Source organism: Homo sapiens, chromosome 10 (assembly GCF_000001405.40).
Source record: "Homo sapiens chromosome 10, GRCh38.p14 Primary Assembly".
Classification (NCBI taxonomy): Eukaryota; Metazoa; Chordata; class Mammalia; order Primates; family Hominidae; genus Homo; species Homo sapiens.
The window spans coordinates 23,282,600-23,301,295 of NC_000010.11; the positions used below are offsets into that span (position 1 = coordinate 23,282,600).

Sequence of the window (18,696 nt, forward strand, 5' to 3'; positions counted from 1 at the left end):
GCGGGTGGATCACCTGAGGTCAGGAGTTCAAGACCAGCCTGACCCACATGGTGAAACCCCATTTCTACTAAAAATACAAAAATTAGCTGGGCATGGTGGCATGTGCCTGTAATCCAAGCTACTTCGGAGGCTGAAGCAGGAGGATTGCTTGAGCCCAGGAATTTAAGGCTGCAATGAACTATGGTCGCACCACTGCACTCCAGCCTAGAAACAAGACCCTGTCTTTAAACAAACCAACCATTTATTTGTGGGAGCTAGAAATTGAAACAATTGAACTTACGGAGATAGAGAGAAGACGGATGGTTACCAGATGCTGGGAAGGGTAGTGAGGGGTGGGGTAATAGGGTTAATGGTACAAAAAAAAAACGGCTAGGAAGAATGAATAAGACCTAGTATTTGATAGCACAACAGGGTGACCATAGTCAATACTTTAATTGTATATTTAAAAATAACTAAAAGAGTATAAATGGATTGTTCGTAATACAAAGGATAAATGCTTGAGGTGATGCATACCCCACTTACCCTCATGTGATTATTACACATTCTATGCCTGTATCAAAATATTTCATATACTCTGTAAATATATACACCTACTAGGTACCCACAAAAATTAAAAATGAAAAAACAAACAAAAACCCCATTCACTGCAGGGCCCTTGTTCCCTTGTGACTTGCCTTTGTATTTACGTTGATCAATTGCTGTTTGTGTGTGTTATAGGCTAGTAAAATTCAACCTTTCGTTGTGATATGCATTCAATTTAATTAATTCATGTCTGTATGAATTTAATAAACATCCCCAGTGTCACTGTTCTTGTTTCAGTTCTTTATTGTTTCCCTGGCTTATCCAAGCAACAACTTCACTGGACTCTGGTTCCGGGCTTTCCTCCCTCCCATTAATTTTCTTTCTGAAACACAAATCTGATCCTGCCGCAATGTTCAAGGCCCTCCAACGCACTCAGAAGGTAATTCAAACCTTTCTGCATGAATATAATCTTCTGCCACCGTCCTCTGCCCCTTGCCACTCCTTGCCCTCATGTTCTCTTCAGCTACAGGAAACCACACGCCCTTTGCTATACAAGGTGCTTTTGCGTGGTACTTAGAATACCCCTCCCAACTCTCCTGCATCTCTTTCCTGGCTAACTCTAACTGCTCTTCTCGGGGCCATTGCAGTATCCTTTCTCCAACCTTCCCTGATCCCGTAGAGTCCAGGCTGGGCATGCCTCTTGTGTGCCGCACACCAAACTCTGCTTCTCTGCATCCTGACGCTATCACACCTGTACTGTGCTCTCTGACTCCGGGTCTGCCTCCCTCCCAGAATGAAATTCATGAGAACAGAGTCTACTGTGGCAGCAGCTGGAAGACCGACACAGATACAGCTGGTATTTGATTCCTGGAATTAAAACACAAAAGCTATGAATTCCATAACTGACCATGCTTAGCCCAGATAGATGGCAAGAGGTCAGCTTCCCCAAATTCAGTCCCATTTTCAACCTGTTTTTAAGTGCATCCAGGGCTTAAAAAAAAAAAAAAAAGGGTGGGGGGAACACGTGGTTATCTGAAGGCTTCTGAGTTGCTCCTTTCCATTCTTCCATTTCCTGCTTACACCCCCTTCCCCACACCCCTGGTCTCCCCACTCTGTCTGCCCCACTACAGATTCTTCCTATATAGTTTCATCAGATTCCTACTGCATTCTGGAGCCACATCCAGTCACAAGCAGTTCCACAAACCCCTGTCAGGCTTTATGCATTCATACCCTGTACCCAGCTCTTCCACTCTTGCCTGCCTGGAAAAATCAGCTCCAAAGCCCAGCACGGTGGCTCACGCCTATGATCCCAGCACTTTGGGAGGGTGAGGTGGGAGGATCCCTTGAGCCCAGGAGTTCGAGACCAGCCTGAGCAACATAGTGAGAGACCATCTCCACAAAAAAAAAAAATTAAAAAAAAAATTTAGCCATGTGTGGTGCATGCCTGTAGTCCAACCTACTCAGGAGATTGAGGTGGGAGAATTGCTTGAGCCCAGGAAGGCTGCAGTGAGCCATGATCATGCCACTGCACTCCATCGCAGGCAACAAAGCAAGACCTTATCTCAAAAAACCCCCAAACAAACAAACAAACAAACAAACAAAAAAACCTAAAAAATCAGCTCCAGTGGGCCTCAACAGGAGAACGTGAGAAAGGTTGTGGAACTGTTTATGAAGGTTTTCTAGAATCTTCCAGATGAAGCCAGGCATCTCTTCTCTAGTACACACTTCTCTTATAGTCCCTATCTCACTGCCCTGTGGTTTTGGTCTATCCCTGTAGACTTCACCTGTCTCCAGAAGGGACCATAGGTATATACATGCATTTTGTTTTTTCTAGCAGTAGCACAGTGCCTAGTACTTAAAGGCAACTAATAAACATTGCTGAACTAATTGATTTAGTGCAGGATATTGGAAAAAAACCAGCAAATATCAGCTGTCATTTGTTCAACAACATCTGAACTGCTTCCCAGTTGACAAAGCATGCTGACATTCATTATCTCATTCAGTCCACACAGTACGCCTGGGAGAAACAGGAAGGAGGAGACAGGCACTGGCCCCAGGGGACCTAGTTCCAAAAATGGAACAGGAATCCAGGGTTCTAGATTCTTTCTGCTCAGTACCAAAATGTCCCTATATTCAATGTCTATGAGAAGTTCCAGTGCATGTAAAGAAAAAATGAAAAGAAAGACAGAATTAAAAAAAAAAATCAAGCAGATTAGGACTCTGCTATACTATATTATATAATTTGTTATATATATTATATTATATTTATATATTATTTTATACATAACAAAGCTATCAGAAATATAATGTGAGTCATATATAATTTTGAATTTTATAGTAGCTGTGTTAAAAAGGCAACAGAAATAGGTAAAAGCAATTTTAATAATGTGTTTTTTATCCCAATATATATTCAAAATATTATTTCAATGTGTAATCAATATAAAAAATTATTAGTGAGACATTTCACATTTTTTACACCAAGTCTTTGAAATCTAGTGTGTATTTTTCACTCACAGCACATCTCAATTGGGGAGCTACGTTTTCATTGGAAATACTTTATTTGTATTCAGATTTCATAAAATTTACAAATGAAAAAGTAAAGTCACATATCCAAGTTATCAAAAATATACAGAAAGGTTTTCCAAGAACTGAAATGAGTTTTTAAATTTGAATTTAAATAATTGGAAATTAAATTATCAAAACTTAGTTCCTCACTTGCACTGGCCACATTTCAAGTGCTCAATAGCCACATGTGGCCAAGGGCCACCATGGCACAGTGCAGATTTAGAAAGCTGAGGCAGCACTTAACTGATATATTTAAACTCACAGATATAGCCAGCCATCAACTGGTGGCTTACCAGTGAGATTTTGTTTTTTTGCTTTAATTTGTTATTGTACTCCTTATAGAGAGTCAGAAGTACATGCTACTCATTTCTACCAGTGGTATACAGACTGAAGAGCTTGAGAAACATTTTCAATAAAGAACCAGGCCCAGTGCAGTGACTCACACCTGTAATCCTAACACTTTGGGAGGACGAGGTGGGAGCATCACTTGAGGCCAGGAGTTTGAGACCAGCCTGGGCAATATAGGGAGACCCTGTTTCTGCAAAAATAAAAAAATAAAAAATTAGCCAAGTGTGGTGGTACTCCTGTTTAGTCCCAGCTACTCTGGGAGCTGAGATGGGAGGATCGCTTGAGGCTGGATGTTTGAGGCTGCAAGTGAGATATTATTGTACCACTGTACTCTAGCCTTAGGGACAGAGTGAGACTGAGACATAGAAGGGAAGGGGAGGGGAGGGGAGGGGAGGGGAGGGAGGGGAGGTGAGGGGAGGGGAAGGGAAGGGAAGGGAAGCAAAGAAGGAAGGGAGGGAAGAAGGAAGGGAGGGAGGGGAGGGAGGGAAGGAAGGGTGGGAAGGGAAGGAAGGGAGGGAAGGGAAGGAAGGGAGGGAAGGGTGGGAAGGAGGGAAGGAGGGAGGGAGGAAGGAAAGGAGGGAGGGAGGGAGGAAAGGAGGGAGGGAGGAAAGGAGGGAGAAAGGAGGGAGGAAAGGAGGGAGGAATGGAAAAACTGGTGATGGTTCCCTGGTTGGTTATTAAGTGAAACTAGAAGGCTGAGATTTCATTTCTGACCTTAGAGGTTGATGCCAAGAAGGTTAAATGGAATTTACATTATTGTCACTGCAAATAGGGTGAAGCCTAAGAAAATGAACTCCCCTTGTGAAAATCTGTGAGGGATTCAGTTATCAGGGAAACATCTCCCACCTCTGACCAATCAGGGTAACCATTTCTTTGAAAAATACTTCTTAAAAGTAGTTTTATCTAAAATCTGAGAATATCTTGAATGAGGAAATAAGAGAGGACACAAACAAATGAAAAAACATTCCATCCTTATGGATAGGAAGAATCAATATCATGAAAATGGCCATATTGCCCAAAGTAATTTATAGATTCAATGCTATTTCCATCAAACTACCATTGACATTCTTCACAGAATTAGTAAAAACTATTTTAAATTTCATATGGAATCAAAGAAGACCCTGTACAGCCAAGACAATCCTAAGCAAAAAGAACAAAGTTGGAGGCATCACACTACCTAACTTCAAACTATACTACAAGGTTACAGTAACCAAAACAGCATGGTACTGGTACCAAAACAGACATATAGACCAATGGAGCAGAACAGAGACCTCAGAAATAACACCACACATCTACAACCATCTGATCTTCAACAAACCTGACAAAAACAAGCAATGGGGAAAGGATCTCCTATCCAGTAAATGGTGCTGGGAAAACTGGCTAGCCATATGCAGAAAACTGAAACTGGACCCTTTCCTTACACCTTATACAAAAATTAACTCAAGATGAATTAAAGACTTAAATGTAAAACCCAAAACCATAAAAACCTAGGAGAAAACCTAGGCAATACCATTCAGGACATAGGTGTGGGCAAACACTTCATGACAAAAACACCAAAAGCAATTGCAACAAAAGCCAAAATTGACGAATGGGATCTGATTAAACTAAAGAGCTTCTGCACAAAAGAAACTATCATCAGAGTGAACAGGCAACCTACAGAATGAGAAAATCTTTGCAATCTACCCATCTGACAAAGGTCTAATATCCAGAATCTACAAGGAACTTAATCAAATTTACAAGAAAAAAACAAACAACCCCATCAAAAAGTGGGCAAAGGATATGAACAGACACTTCTCAAAAGAAGACATTTACGTGGCCAACAAACGTGAAAAAAAGCTCAACATCACTGATCATCAGAGAAATGCAAATCAAAACCACAATGAGATACCATGTCACACCAGTCAGAATGGCGATTATTAAAAAGTCAGGAAACAATAGATGCTGGTGAGGCTGCAGAGAAATAGGAACACTTTTACACGTTAGTGGGAATGCAAATTAGTTCAACCATTGTGGAAGACAGTATGGAGTATTCCTCAAGGATCTAGAACCAGAAATACCATTTGAACCAGCAATCCCATCAATGTGTATATACTCAAAGGAATGTAAATCATTTTACTATAAAGAGACATGCACACATATGTTTACTGCAGCATTATTTACAATAGCAAAGACATGAAACCAACCCAAATGCCCATCAGTGATAGACTGGATAAAGAAAATGTGGTACATATACACCATGGAATACTATGCAGCCATAAAAAGGAATGAGATCATGTCCTTTGCAGGGATATGGATGAAGCTGGAAGCCATCATCCTCAGCAAACTAACACAGGAACAGAAAACCAAACACCGCATGTTCTCACTCATAAGTAGGAGTTGAACATTGAGAATACATGGACACAGATTGGGGAACAACACACACCAGGGCCTGTTGGGGGGCTGGGGGGTGAGCAGAGAGAACTTAGAGGATGGGTCAATAGGTGCAACAAACCACCATGGCACATATATACCTATGTAACAAACCTGCACATTCTGCACATGTATCCCATTTTTTTAGAAGAAATAAAAGACAAAACATTTTTAAAAATTAAAAAAAGAATATCTTGAATGGCAATATCAGGCCTGGCTGAAATCTGAACCTAAACTTAGGCACATGTGGTGGCTAAGCTCTTCAAATGTGGCTAGTGCAACTGTGAAACTGAATTCTTAATTTTGTCTGATTTTAATCCATTTTAACTTAAAAATGGATACTCGGTTCAGTTACTGGAAGATATTTATGTTTATTTGGAATAACTTGGGGATGTGAATCTGCTTGTTTATCTGTAAACTGTATGAACTGTAAATGCATTCCTATTCTATTCATCTCTTGGAGTATTTTTCAGTGCCTCAGGCATCGTGCTCCCCACTAAGAGACCAGATAGCGCAGTTTCCACCCTCATGGAGCCTCCAGTAGGGCAGGGAAGATAGACCATAACAGAATGGTAACTGAGAGCCACAATAGGGAAGTTTGCGGATAAATGAGAACAGAGTAGGGAAGCCCCACGTGTGCAGGGAGAGCAGGAATTGCTGAGATCCTACTGCATTCAATTCAATGAGCTAAGAAATCTTGTTGTTGTGGGGGTTGGTGGTGTGTGTGTATGTGTGTTTCAGACAGGGTCTCACTCTGTTGTCTAGGCTGAAGTGCAGTGGTGCAATTCTAGTTCACTGCAGCCCCGAACTTCTGAGCTTAAACAATCCTCCTACTTCAGCATCCCGAGTAGCTGGGACTACAGATATGTGCCACCACACTCGGCTAATTTTTTTAATTTTTATAAAGAAGGGGTCTCACTATGTTTTCCAGTCTGGCCTTGAACTTCTGAGCTCAGAAGATTCTCCAACCTTGGCCTGCAAAGCTGCTAGGATTACAGGTGTGAACCACTGCGCCCCACCTTGGAAATCTTGATTTTTATTCTACCAAAAGAATTCCCTGCTCTAAATATTTACCAGATAACATAAGCCCAGCTCATTCATGAACATCAACTAACATCTGATCTGAAAATAAGACTGTTCATTTTTAATATAACTTTTTCCTTAACTGCAAGCTCATCTTCAGACTTCTCTGTGTCATGTAACTATTCGGTGCCTTAAAATCAACAAGGCAGATGGTCAGTGATCCCAAACAAAAGAAGTATCTATACATCCGTGAGTTTTCAAGGTGGAGTCCTTATTTGCTTCTAGTCACCCTTCCCAAATAGTGGGGAGAGATTAAATATGTGAATCAACTTTCCTCTATGTCATAAGACACTCTGGACACAGTGTTATTTGGCCAATTGCGCCTATAGTTCCATTTAAAAGAGTCATTTATCAACGTAAAACGTTATAGTACCTTTTGAATAGTTTTGTGATCCTTTTCTGCCATCTCTTTCATACTTATAAGTTCATCTTCTGTAAACAAAAGGAGAGAGAGGCCAACCATGAAATTACATGCTTATGCCCCTGTATTTAAACGGCCTGCTTCAGGGCAGGCTGTGGGGCACTAGCAGGCATAGTGGACACAAGGCCTAGCAGGACTGTGACCTTCACAACTGCCCTTGACATTCGCAGCCTTCTTCCTGCTGTTCAGATGGCCGGTCAGATAGGGATTAAGAAGTAAGTTCAAGATCCAAGTGTGGCTGAGGGCTGAAAGCTTTTCATCAATACTAGCGACGGACATTTTTGCTGTTGGTCACAGCCAATACAAAGAGCTTTAGCAGGTGGCAGTTTATGACTTAATAAGAACGACCCAAAACTAAAAAGCCTTGCTATGCCACAGCAGAAGAGAATGAGACTATACTGGCATGGTAGAATTTTACATCCAAGGGATAATATTAATATAATATATCTCATTTTACTGATATTTTGCTATAATTCATTGTATTGCCTGCTCATTGCTTTGAATACTGCAGATTAAGGACAACATCATGTAATTAACATAATCACTCGGATCACAGTTAAATGAAAAAATACGTTAGAGCAATCTCACCTTGGTGATTATTTTTTTCTCTTTTCCACATGTTCTAACAACTTCGGTGATTTAAACACAACTTTCACCAATGTTTGTGGTATGAAAGAAAAGAGGTATTAAGTATACAAATGAAATTGTGTATTTAAGCTTTGCATCAAAAATTGAAGTAACTAGTAAGTACTAGCATATTTTCCTGAAGGGCTAACTCTGTTTTCCCTACAAAGCATATCCCTATATGTATTCTTAAGTTTTTAAATGTTATCAAGTTTAGATAATCAGTTAAGCATCTGAAACAAATCAGCAAAAGTTTCTATCTGGCTATAATATTTCTAAGTGAAATGGAGCATTGATTAGCAAATTTTTGCAAAGGCCAATGTCTGTCTTGAAACAACACCCTGAATTAACGTGACATGGCTCAGGGGTACAACTACAAACACATCCTCTGTCCCAAGCAAGAAGTGCTATCTTTAATAAAAAGCAAAGATGGCTATGAAATTCATCTTTCAAATGTAAATAACCAAACGAATGTATGTTTGGAAAAGACAAACATAGTTATGAGCTTTACAAAGTGACCAATATACAGATTTTTCTCAAAAGTGATTTCAAAATGTTACCTAATCCTGAATTTTCTTTTAGATTGATCTGGATTTCTTCTTCAAGCTCTGAAATGATCTGAAGCAGCCTCTCATTTTCCACTTTGTACTCCAAATTTTCCTTTTCTAGGTTTGATTTTGGAGAGCTGGTTTCTTTGGCAAAAGATTCCTAAAAGATGGAGAATGCCATATTCCTAAGCAGGGAGCCAAGGATTTAAATATGCAAGACAAGGACAATACAGATACAGAAAAGCTATCATATAATTTTCTGAATTCTATTACACACTTATAAGAATAGTAAAAAGGAAGGAGCCTAAATAGAGCTTGCTGGAAGAAAGGCTCCAGTACATTCTGTACAAAGACCTCAACACATGGGGACATTTTATTGACAGGAATAATGCATATCATACTGTTTGTGTGCCCTCATCATTCAGGTCAATTCATTATGGAGGCTGTGTCCGGGGAGGCAGCTGGGGCCCCTCCACCCACACTTCCCTCTGTGTGTGTCTGAAGTGCTGTCCGCCTGTAACTAGGCAGGCTGGGGGGACCAGGACGGGCAGCGCCAGGGGGTGGCAGAGTGCATGGCTAAGGAGGGGGGCTTGTTGCCTTTGTGGCATTTCCCAGTGTCAGTGCTGCCAGTGTCATGAGGAGCACATCACATGTCAAAGTGGTGACGTTTTCAGGCTGGGAGCCGCATGGAGTCCATCAGGCACACGGATATCCACACAGTTGGTTTTCTGCTTGGTGGAGGAGCCACCCAGAGGCAATTCATATTCTGAACATTAACATGGCTTTGCATGCTTGTCACACGGGGTCTGTGCAGGCGTTTAATGCTATTGAAGACTTTGGTTTAAATCTCTATGCAAACAGTGATTACCTTGTAAGAAGGTTTCAGGATAACTTACAACAAAAGACTTTAAAGTTATAGTTTTAGTAAAGCAAACTCATTTACATTTTTATTATGTGCGTCTTTTGTTTAAATCTTGCCATGTCCATTATGGGAGAGCTTTTTCTTACGCAATAGACGCGCTTATTGGGACAGCTACTCTTTTTTTTTTTTTTTTTTTTGCCTTCTTCTTCTTGTCTGTTTCAAAGCTATTGAAAACATCTGAATATCCTCCCTTATGGCTGTCTAGATTTTATTGCCATGCATTAAAAAAAAAAAAATTAAGCTCTAATGGATTGGGGAAGCTGGTGCAGAACTTTATACTTTATTGTGGTATGATATTAAACAGATTATGCAATCTCAAAATATTATTATGCCAAAGGAGATAGAAGATTCTACATGCCTTGTTCAAAATTACTATAGACATTAAAAATACTTTTGATCTTAAGGTCATCACAGGTGAATTATAACTTATTCTTTTTACAGTAATTCCATGATGGCAATAACTAAAAATAAAATCTTCCCTCAAAAACAAAATAATTTCTCTCGACTGATTTCCCTTTGGAACTACACTTTCATTTAAGGTTAAGGATATGTGGAAGTAAACTATTAAAATATTTTCCCCTGTAACAGTTTTAAAGAAAAAGAAGTGATTTAAATTTTTTGTAGTACATTAATAAGTCCTTTAAAACAAGTGACTTACTAATGAAATTACGTATGGTATATATATGTGTGTGTGTGTGTGTGTAAGAGTTAGTAATATTTAAAATATGTTCTTAAATTTTGCACTAAGCTCAATTACAAATCTTCATGACTTTGATTCACCATTTCACTTAAATTATTTGAGCCCAATTCATCTTAACTAATGAGAACTAACAAACCTAGTAAGTAGTTAATAAACAACACTGTTTTCTTAATAAACGAAGAATCCGTCATTAATTTCTTGTCCCACATTGTTCAATTTGAGACCATCACAGAATGCATTTATAGACTAAAAGGTTTTGTGTGTGTGTGTGTGTGGAAAGAAATAAACAAACAATACTGGCCTTAATAGGCTTAAGCATACTTTTCCTAACAGTGGCAGAATATGAACATCCACAGAGGATTACATGAGCACCCGATTCTCATAAACTAAAGAAGAACTATTTGAATTCATCAGATGAAGTGTAAAATTTACAAATGGTAGCAGCTAATACCTAACTACGGGTTCTAAGAATCTCTTTGTATGAAAGCAGGACGCAAGGAAAACACATTAAATACGGGGGTTTGTCCTCCACATATCAAACCACAACCCCTGTTCTTCCAAGGTTAACCCTTAGCTCTGTCCCCACCATCTGTCAGCTGTGGGAACTGCAAGTAATTAACTATTCAGACGCCCACAGCAATGAGGACACTCATTAGCAAAATGAACAAAGGGATCGTTCTGAGCTGCTACGGTGCTCTGTTACACTCTGAGTGGCAGGTTTTGTGGTGGTGTTCCTTCTGCCATCTGCCCACACTGCTAGTTTGTGTTTGCTTAAACCAGGAGACTTTTAAAAAATAAACTGCCTTAATAAAATGAGGTTAAGAAGGATGGAGATCATTAAAGGCAGTTAACTGGATGTAGCCGTTTAAACCACACTATAAGAGAGACTGTGTGCAATCCATGATCATTCTGGAATTTCAAAATTGTAAAGAAACTTACCAATCTCAAGTTTTTCTTTCATATTATAAAAACTAGGGCTTCAGGTGGTGGCATATGTGCTATATCTTTTGTGAATATTCACAAGATGCATAGAATTACAAACTGAATCCCAAATTGAATCTCGAAAGAATCATTTTTGAAAACAGGTGTACTTGGGAGCTTTGCTCCTCAAATGCGGTCCATGGACCAGGAGCCTCAGCATCACCTGGGAACTGATTAGAAATGCAGCCCCTCAGGCCCAACCCAGAGCTACTGTGTCAGAGTCTGCATCTAACGAGATCTGCAGGTGATGCATGTGAGCAGTAAAGTCTGAGAAGTCCTGCTTCAGAGCACTTTCTGTGCCTTCTCAGCAGTTTCCCCTCCACAGGCTCCATTGAATTGGACATCTCAATTTTCTGGGGAGGAGCAGAGTTCTGATGCAAGCCCATGCCTCATGACAGTCACAGAGAAGAGCAGGTGCTTTCCCAATGAGTGACAACCAGGAAAGTGGCACTCTGGGCAGTGCAACCCTGCAGAGCTGCCACTCTTGAATGACAGCTCTGTTTCAGAGCTGTCAGCAACAAGCAGATATGCTCGCAATGGAAGGTAGGTGGGTGATGGTTGCAGGGCTCATCAGTGTTGGGATAAGAAAAATAAAAAGTCTATTCAAAATGCCAGCTCCAATTGAAATTAAAACACATGCACAGGCACACACACACACACACAGAAACACACACACACACAGAAACACACACACACAATTACAGAGACATAAAGGCTAACCTCCTTTATAAATTCTCAAGAGGATTAGCCAACGGACAGCATGGAAACCTGATGGCTACAATGGTATGCAGCTGAGTCACATTGATTTCCCACCGAATAAAACCTGAACATTTCATCCCTTGAATGAAGTTGCTCTTGGGAAAATTCGACATTCAGGATGTTCCCATCTGGAGATGAGAAATTACAACTACTTATTAATTATAAAGCTATTGAAGTAATTTGATAATCAGTAAGAGTAAACTAGATAACTGTAGATAAACTAAATAAAACTTGTTTATTTCACTTTTTTTTTCAACTTACTTCCACTGCTACTTTGAAATTTTTAATTGTTTTTCCAAATCCCGTGTTCCCAATCTAATTTGAGACTTGGTGTCCCAGGGGTTTTTAAAATACCACTAGAGGGGGCAGTTGAATCAGATGAAATTTCAAATAAAAAAGATCATCTAGAACTTAAGGTTTTAGGAAAGTTTGTTCTTAGAGAATGTAGGAAAAAAGTGTGTTTCATTTTATTTGATATAAGCTATGACCTGCCTTTGTGGCATTCATGTCTGTGTTCTTGAAATGGTGACACGTATGCTTTCCATCACCCTCAGTCAGGAGGGGAGAGCAGAGCAGTCAGGAGGGGAGAGCAGACACGTATGCTTTGTCGGGGTCTCCAGGAGAAATCCATACACCCCGTTAATCAGAATCACCTCACCTTCCTCAAATATTAAGAGTGTTTACAGAAATTCTAATGTGCTCTTTGGGGACTAACTACATTGGAATAACCAGAGTATTCTGGATGCCACTGAAAGCCAGAGAACAGCCTGCTTACATATGAGCCGGTGTGGCTCCCACCTGCTCTCCTTTTCACAAAGCCACAGCCCATCCTCACGCTTTCCCCAGAATGTCCAGCTGGGCCAGGTAACCAGCTGAAGAGAAAAGTTAGAGGTGTAAATATTTCAAGAGTATAGGGAGCTGTCTTACCCAATTGGGGTGTTCTCAACAGTCCAGAGGTCTGTTTGGTACATTTTATGGAACATAAACGGATGGCCATAAGGATTTGTGCATTTCCTTATAATACCTGAATTGATACATGAATATTTCTTCAAAGAACTTGAAGCAATTTACATTCAATACAGCAGGTGTTCTTATCATAACTCTCTAGTTTAGCCAGGCGGGTATCATGTTGCATTTCACAAATGGGAAATAAATGGATCAAAATTGCCTTGCCACATCTACACTGGATGTCTTTGGCCAAGGCAGGATTAAAAGCAAACTATTACAGTTTTTAGTCTTTTCTATTAAATTGTTTTCTTCAAAAAGTAAAAGTAAATGTAAACCCAAGAAAAGGTTTTTCAAAGGCAAATGCAAAAATTGAATGTGCTTCCTAGTCCAAGATATATACAAAAATTAATATTCAATTTTATTAGATCTATGCTATTGACACAATGCTGTATTGCTTAGAAGGTGCTCAATTTTTTCTAGATATAAAGATTTCTAATAGATTAACAAAGTAAACACCTAAAGCAAACATTTAAACCAGTTTAAATACGATCCTTTAGAATGGTTTGTGTTTGATTCATTATCTCTTATAACGTTGAAGTTTTAAATAAGAGTACTAGTGAGGGATTTAGATAAACCATAAATTGTATTCAAAGGCATGAGCAACCCATAAGTGTTTCTTCCTAGTGTTAACATTTTGACATATAACTTTTCAGATTTTCCTGTATGCATGTGTCGATATTTCTATGTGTACTTTTTTTTTTTTGCAGTTGCAAGATTTAATAGAGTTAAATAGAGTGGAAACAGGGCTCCCATACAAAAGGAAGGGACCCAAAGAGGGTAGCCATTGCCAGCTCGAATGCCTGGGTTTATATCCCGATCATTGTCCCTCCCACTGTGCTCTTAGGCAACAGATGATTGGCTATTTCTTTACCTCCTGTTTTTGCCTAATTAGCATTTCAGTGAGCTCTCCTTACTATCTGATTGGTCTGGTGTGAGCTAAGTTGCAAGCCCTGTGTTTAAAGGTGGAAGCGGTCACCTTCCCAGCTAGGCTTAGGGATTCTTAGTCGGCCTAGGAAATCCAGCTAGTCCTGTCTCTCAGTGCCCCTCTCAACAGGAAAACCCAAGTGCTGTTGGGGAGGTTGGCTGATGACCGCTCTAATTGCTTCCTGCTGAATTGGGGTGTACTAGGGGTCGTGCAGTTGAGATTTCCTCGGGAGGGGTGACTTTGATGTCATTAACATCGGAGCATGGGCTAGCAGGCTGGTCCAGGGGTCTGTGGTAGATCTTAGTCACAGACTGCATCTGGGGCACCATTTGAAGAATGATTTGTAGTTTTACAGCTTTGATTCTGGAAGAGACAAACTTAACAAGGAGGTTAAAGATACAGGGATTGAAATGTATGGCCTGCAGTGCAGGGGATTATTTCTTTGGCACACTTTACAGGCCTTGACTATCTGCTTGATAGTTTTGAAAAGGCCTGGTCCAGTAAATAATAATTTGGCCACCTGATGGGTGCTATTAATGCCTAAGTGAAAGGTTTGGTGAAGGGTTTTAAGTAATTTCCATTGGTTAGCTGCAGGCAAAAGTATTTTTCCTTCTTCCATGGCTAGCCATCCTGAGGGAAGGCAACTATGTCCTCGTGAGGTTCCCCATTCTATTTCTTCTTCTGAGTACTGGGGCTTGCTTTCCTGGAGGGGATTACCCCATACTAGAGGTCCCCTTCTATAAGCATTTCTAATGGAGGGTCCTTCCTTGTGGCTGTTTTGGCTTCAATATCTTCTTGGTGGTTCCTTTCTATTTCCCTTTCCTTTCCTTTCCTTTCCTTTCCTTTCCTTTCCTTTCTGATGACCCCACCAGTCTAAGACTGCCACCTCTTTAGGTTTCTGTACAGCCAATAATATTTCCCTAATGGCTTCCTGATGTTTGATAGGTGTTCCCTCGGAAGTTAGGAATTCCCTTTCTCTCCATATTGCTGCATGGGCATGGAGGACTAGGTAAGCATACTACTCTGTATATATATTCACCCTTTTTCCTTCTCTTAATTCTAGTGCCCGAGTGAGGGCTATTAGTTTTACCAGCTGAGCACTAGTTCCTGGAGTGAGGGGATTACTTTCAAGTACTCCATTATCACTGACAACTGCATACCCCGCTTTTCGAAGTCCTTTTTCTACAAAGGAACTTCCATTAGTATACAAGTTGAGGTTGGGATCAGTCAAGGGAACCTCTAAAAGGTCCCCCTGAGCGGCATAGGTTTGAGCAATTACTTGTTGACAGTTATGTTCTATCTTTTCTTCTTTGTCTGGAAGAAATGTGGCTGGGTTAAGAGTTGCACAAGTGCGCAGTCGCAGCACTGGCCCTTCAAGTAATAGAGCCTGATATTTAAGTAAACAGTTGTCTGACAGGCACAAGTCTCCTTTAGCAGTGAGTAAGCCATTCACATCGTAAGATATCCACACAGTAAGATCTCTTCCCTGTATTATTTTAACTGCTTCAGATACTAAGACTGCTACTGCCACCACTACCCGTAAACAATGAGGCCAACCCGGCCGGGCATGTTGGCTCACGCCTATAATCCTAGCACTTTGGGAAGCTGAGGTGGGCGGATCACAAGGTCAGGAGATCGAGACCATCCTGGCGAACACGGTGAAACCCCATCTCCACTAAAAATACAAAAAATCAGCCAGGCGTGGTGGTGTGCACCTGTAGTCCCAGCTACTCGGGAGGCTGAGGCAGGAGGATGGCATGAACCTGGGAGGCGGAGCTTGCAGTGAGCCGAGATGGCACCACTGCACTCCAGCCTGGGCGACAGAGTGAGACTCTGTCTCAAAAAAACAAACAAACAAAAAAATAAAAACAATGAGGCCAACCCTTTGCCACTACATCAATTTCCTTACTCAGGTATGCCACAGGTTGCAAGCTCATCCCTCAGACCTGTGTGAGGACTCCTAGAGCTATTCCTGTTTTTTCTGTGACATATAAAGAAAAGTCTTGCCCCATTGGCAAGCTTAACACTGGGGCTTGGGTTAGGGCTTTCTTTAGGGCCTGGAAAGCCACTTCTGCTTCAGGTGTCCATCTTACTAAATGGGTATTGGCTTTCTGAGTTTCCTTAATTAGTGTATATAATGGTCTGGCTATTTCGCCGTACCTGGGAATCCATATTCGGCAGTTCCTGTTATGCCAAGGAACGCTCTTAGTTGCTTCAGGGTTTTGGGATAAGGATAAGCCAATATAGCCTGGATACATTCCTCACTGAGGGTCCTGGTGCCTTTGGATAATTTTAGCCCTAAGTATTTAACCTGCTGTGAGCAGAGCTGAGCTTTTGGTTTGGAAACCTTGTAGCCACAGGTAGCAAGGAAATTTAAGAGCACCTGGGTGGCTTGATGACACAAGGTTTCTGAATGGGCGGCTAAAAGTAAATCATCCATGTACCGAAGGACAACAGTGTCCAGGTATGAGAACTGGCTCAAGTCTTGGGCTAATAGTCTTGGGTGCCTGGCCAAATAGATGGGGGCTATTCCTGAACCCTTGGGGTAAAACAGTCCAGGTGAGTTGAGACATTGGGTTTGAAGGATCTTCAAAGGCAAACAAGAATTGAGAGTCAGGATGTACAAGGATGCAGAAAAAGGTATCCTTAAGGTCCAGGACTGTAAACCACTCTGCTTCCTCTGGTATTTGGGAAAGCAGAGTAGAAGGGTTAGGTATAGCTGGGTATAGAGGAACAACAGACTCATTGATAATCCTGAGATCTTCCACTAACCTCCACTGTCTGTTGGGTTTCTGTACTCCTAAAATTGGAGTATTGCAGGGGCTATTGCATGGTTTTACTAGGCCTTGGGCTTTTAGGTCCTTAATCTTTTGGAGTCCTTGTTGGACCTTGGGTCTAAGGGGGTACTGCCTTTGGTAGGAAAAGGAGGCGTAATCCTTTAGTTTAACTTGAACAGGACAGGCATTCTTTGCTCGTCCATATTGTCCTTCTGTTGCCCAGACTTCAGGATTAGTTCCTTCCTCAAGCAGGGGACAACAAATGGGGTGTTCCTTCTCCTATGTTCAGGTGTATAATGGCCCCTGCTTTTGCTAGAATGTCTCTCCCTAAGAAGGAAGTGGGGCTTTCAGGCATAATTAGAAAAGCATGTGAAAAGAGTAAAGTTCCCCAGTCACAACTTAGTGGCTGGGAGAAGTATCTAGTGACTGGCTGTCCTAGGACCCCTTGGATAGTGACAGATCTGGAGGACAATTGTCCACGACAGGAGAGTAAGACTGAGAAGGGGGCGGGTGCAGTGGCTCATGCCTGTAATCCCAGCACTTTGGGAGGCTGAGGCGGGCGAATCATGAGGTCAAGAGATCAAGACCATCCTGGCTAACACGGTGAAACCCTGTCTCTACTAAAACATACAAAAAATTAGCCGGGTGTGGTGGCGGGCGCCTGTAGTCCCAGCTACTCAGGAGGCTGAGGCAGGAGAATGGCGCGAACCCAGGATGTGGAGCTTGCAGTGAGCCAAGATCGCGCCACTGCACTCCAGCCTGGGTGACAGAGCGAGACTCTGTCTCAAAAAAAAAAAAAAAAATTACTGAGAAGTCTGTGCCAGTGTCCAGGAGACAGTTAACCTCCTGGCCTTCAATGGTCAAGCATATCTGGGGCTCTGTGAGGGTGATGGCATGGGCTGGTGCTTGCCCCAGGCACCCTCAGTCCTGCTGCTCGATCATCCGGCTAGTGGCTTCTGACTCAGAGGATCTTTGTCCCCTGGGGCAGCGGGCCTTCCAGTGATTCCCTTGACATAAGGGGCATGGATGAGAGGGTGGCTTACTTGTACTTGGACAATCTTTTTTAAAGTGTCCTTATAGACCGCACTGGAAGCAAGCCCTATTAGGCATTCGATTTTCCCAGCTTTTCCCTTTTCCAGAGCCTCCAAAGTCCGCTTGCCTGAGGGCCATGACTAAAGCGGTGGCCTTTTTTTATCCCGTTTGTCCCATTCCGCCTGCTCCTCCTGATCTCTATTATAAAAAACCGAGGTTGCCAAGTTCAATAGAGTTTCTAAGTTTTTCTCCGGGCCTAAGGTGGACTTTTGAAGTTTTTTTCTAATGTCTGCAGCTGACTGAGTAATAAACTTATTTATCCTTTAAGATCAGTTGGACTTCAACAGAGTCAGGTGATAGAGAGGTATGCTTCCTCAATGCCTCTCTTAGTCTCTCCAGAAAGGCAGTAGGATTTTCTTCCTTTCCCTGTGTTGTAGTGGACATCATTGAATAATTCATAGGCTTCCTCCTAGTTTCCCTTAGTCCTTCTAGCACGCAAGTTAGCAAATGTCTGCAGCACCAATCTCCATGTTCTGATTCTGTGTCCCAGTGAGGGTCTACACTGGGAATTGCCTGCTGGCCTGTGGGGAATCATTCTTTTTCCTCTGTTGTCATCCTATCATTGAACTGACTGAGATACCAGAGATCACCAAACTCTCAGGCTGCAGTTATGACGGCACTTCTCTCATTTGGGGTTAGTGTCTGATTTAGCAGTAACATTGTATCTGTCCATGTCAGATCAAAGGATTGTCCTAACCCTTGTAAAACATCAATATAGCCATCAGGGTTATCTGAGAATTTACCTAGGTCTATTTTAATTTGCTTTAAGTCTGAGAAAGAAAAAGGTACATGCACTCTAGCTGGGCCAAATTCTCCTCCTCCCACTGCTTGGAGGGGGCATAATCGGGGAATATGGGTCAGAAGGAAAGGTAGGGGTGCACGCATGGGCGACTGTTGAGTAGAAACTTCTGGCTGTGCCATGATCTCAACCGGCTACTGCCAGGAGTTTGGGATGACAGGTTTCTGCCTCTAGTCGGCCCTCGGCTTCCCCAAGAAAATTGAAAGTGGAAGC

At 41.6% G+C, this 18,696-nt stretch overlaps 1 protein-coding gene across 10 annotated transcripts in view; it reads right to left on the reverse strand.

Annotated features, from left to right (window-relative positions):
• C10orf67 (chromosome 10 open reading frame 67) overlaps positions 1-18,696 on the reverse strand; it is a 142,882-nt gene that overhangs the window by 80,684 nt on the left and 43,502 nt on the right. For 8 of the 10 annotated variants that reach the window (XM_017016031.2, NM_001365862.2, XM_047424968.1 and 5 more), the window contains 2 exons: positions 8,533-8,680; positions 7,301-7,359 (listed from right to left, as the gene is read on the reverse strand). In XM_017016031.2, coding sequence (XP_016871520.1) covers positions 7,301-7,359; positions 8,533-8,680 — 207 coding nt within the window. Of the gene's footprint in view, positions 1-7,300; positions 7,360-7,936; positions 7,998-8,532; positions 8,681-18,696 lie in introns of those variants that run through there. The other 2 variants (XR_930487.2, XM_011519443.2) reach the window with 2 other exon arrangements.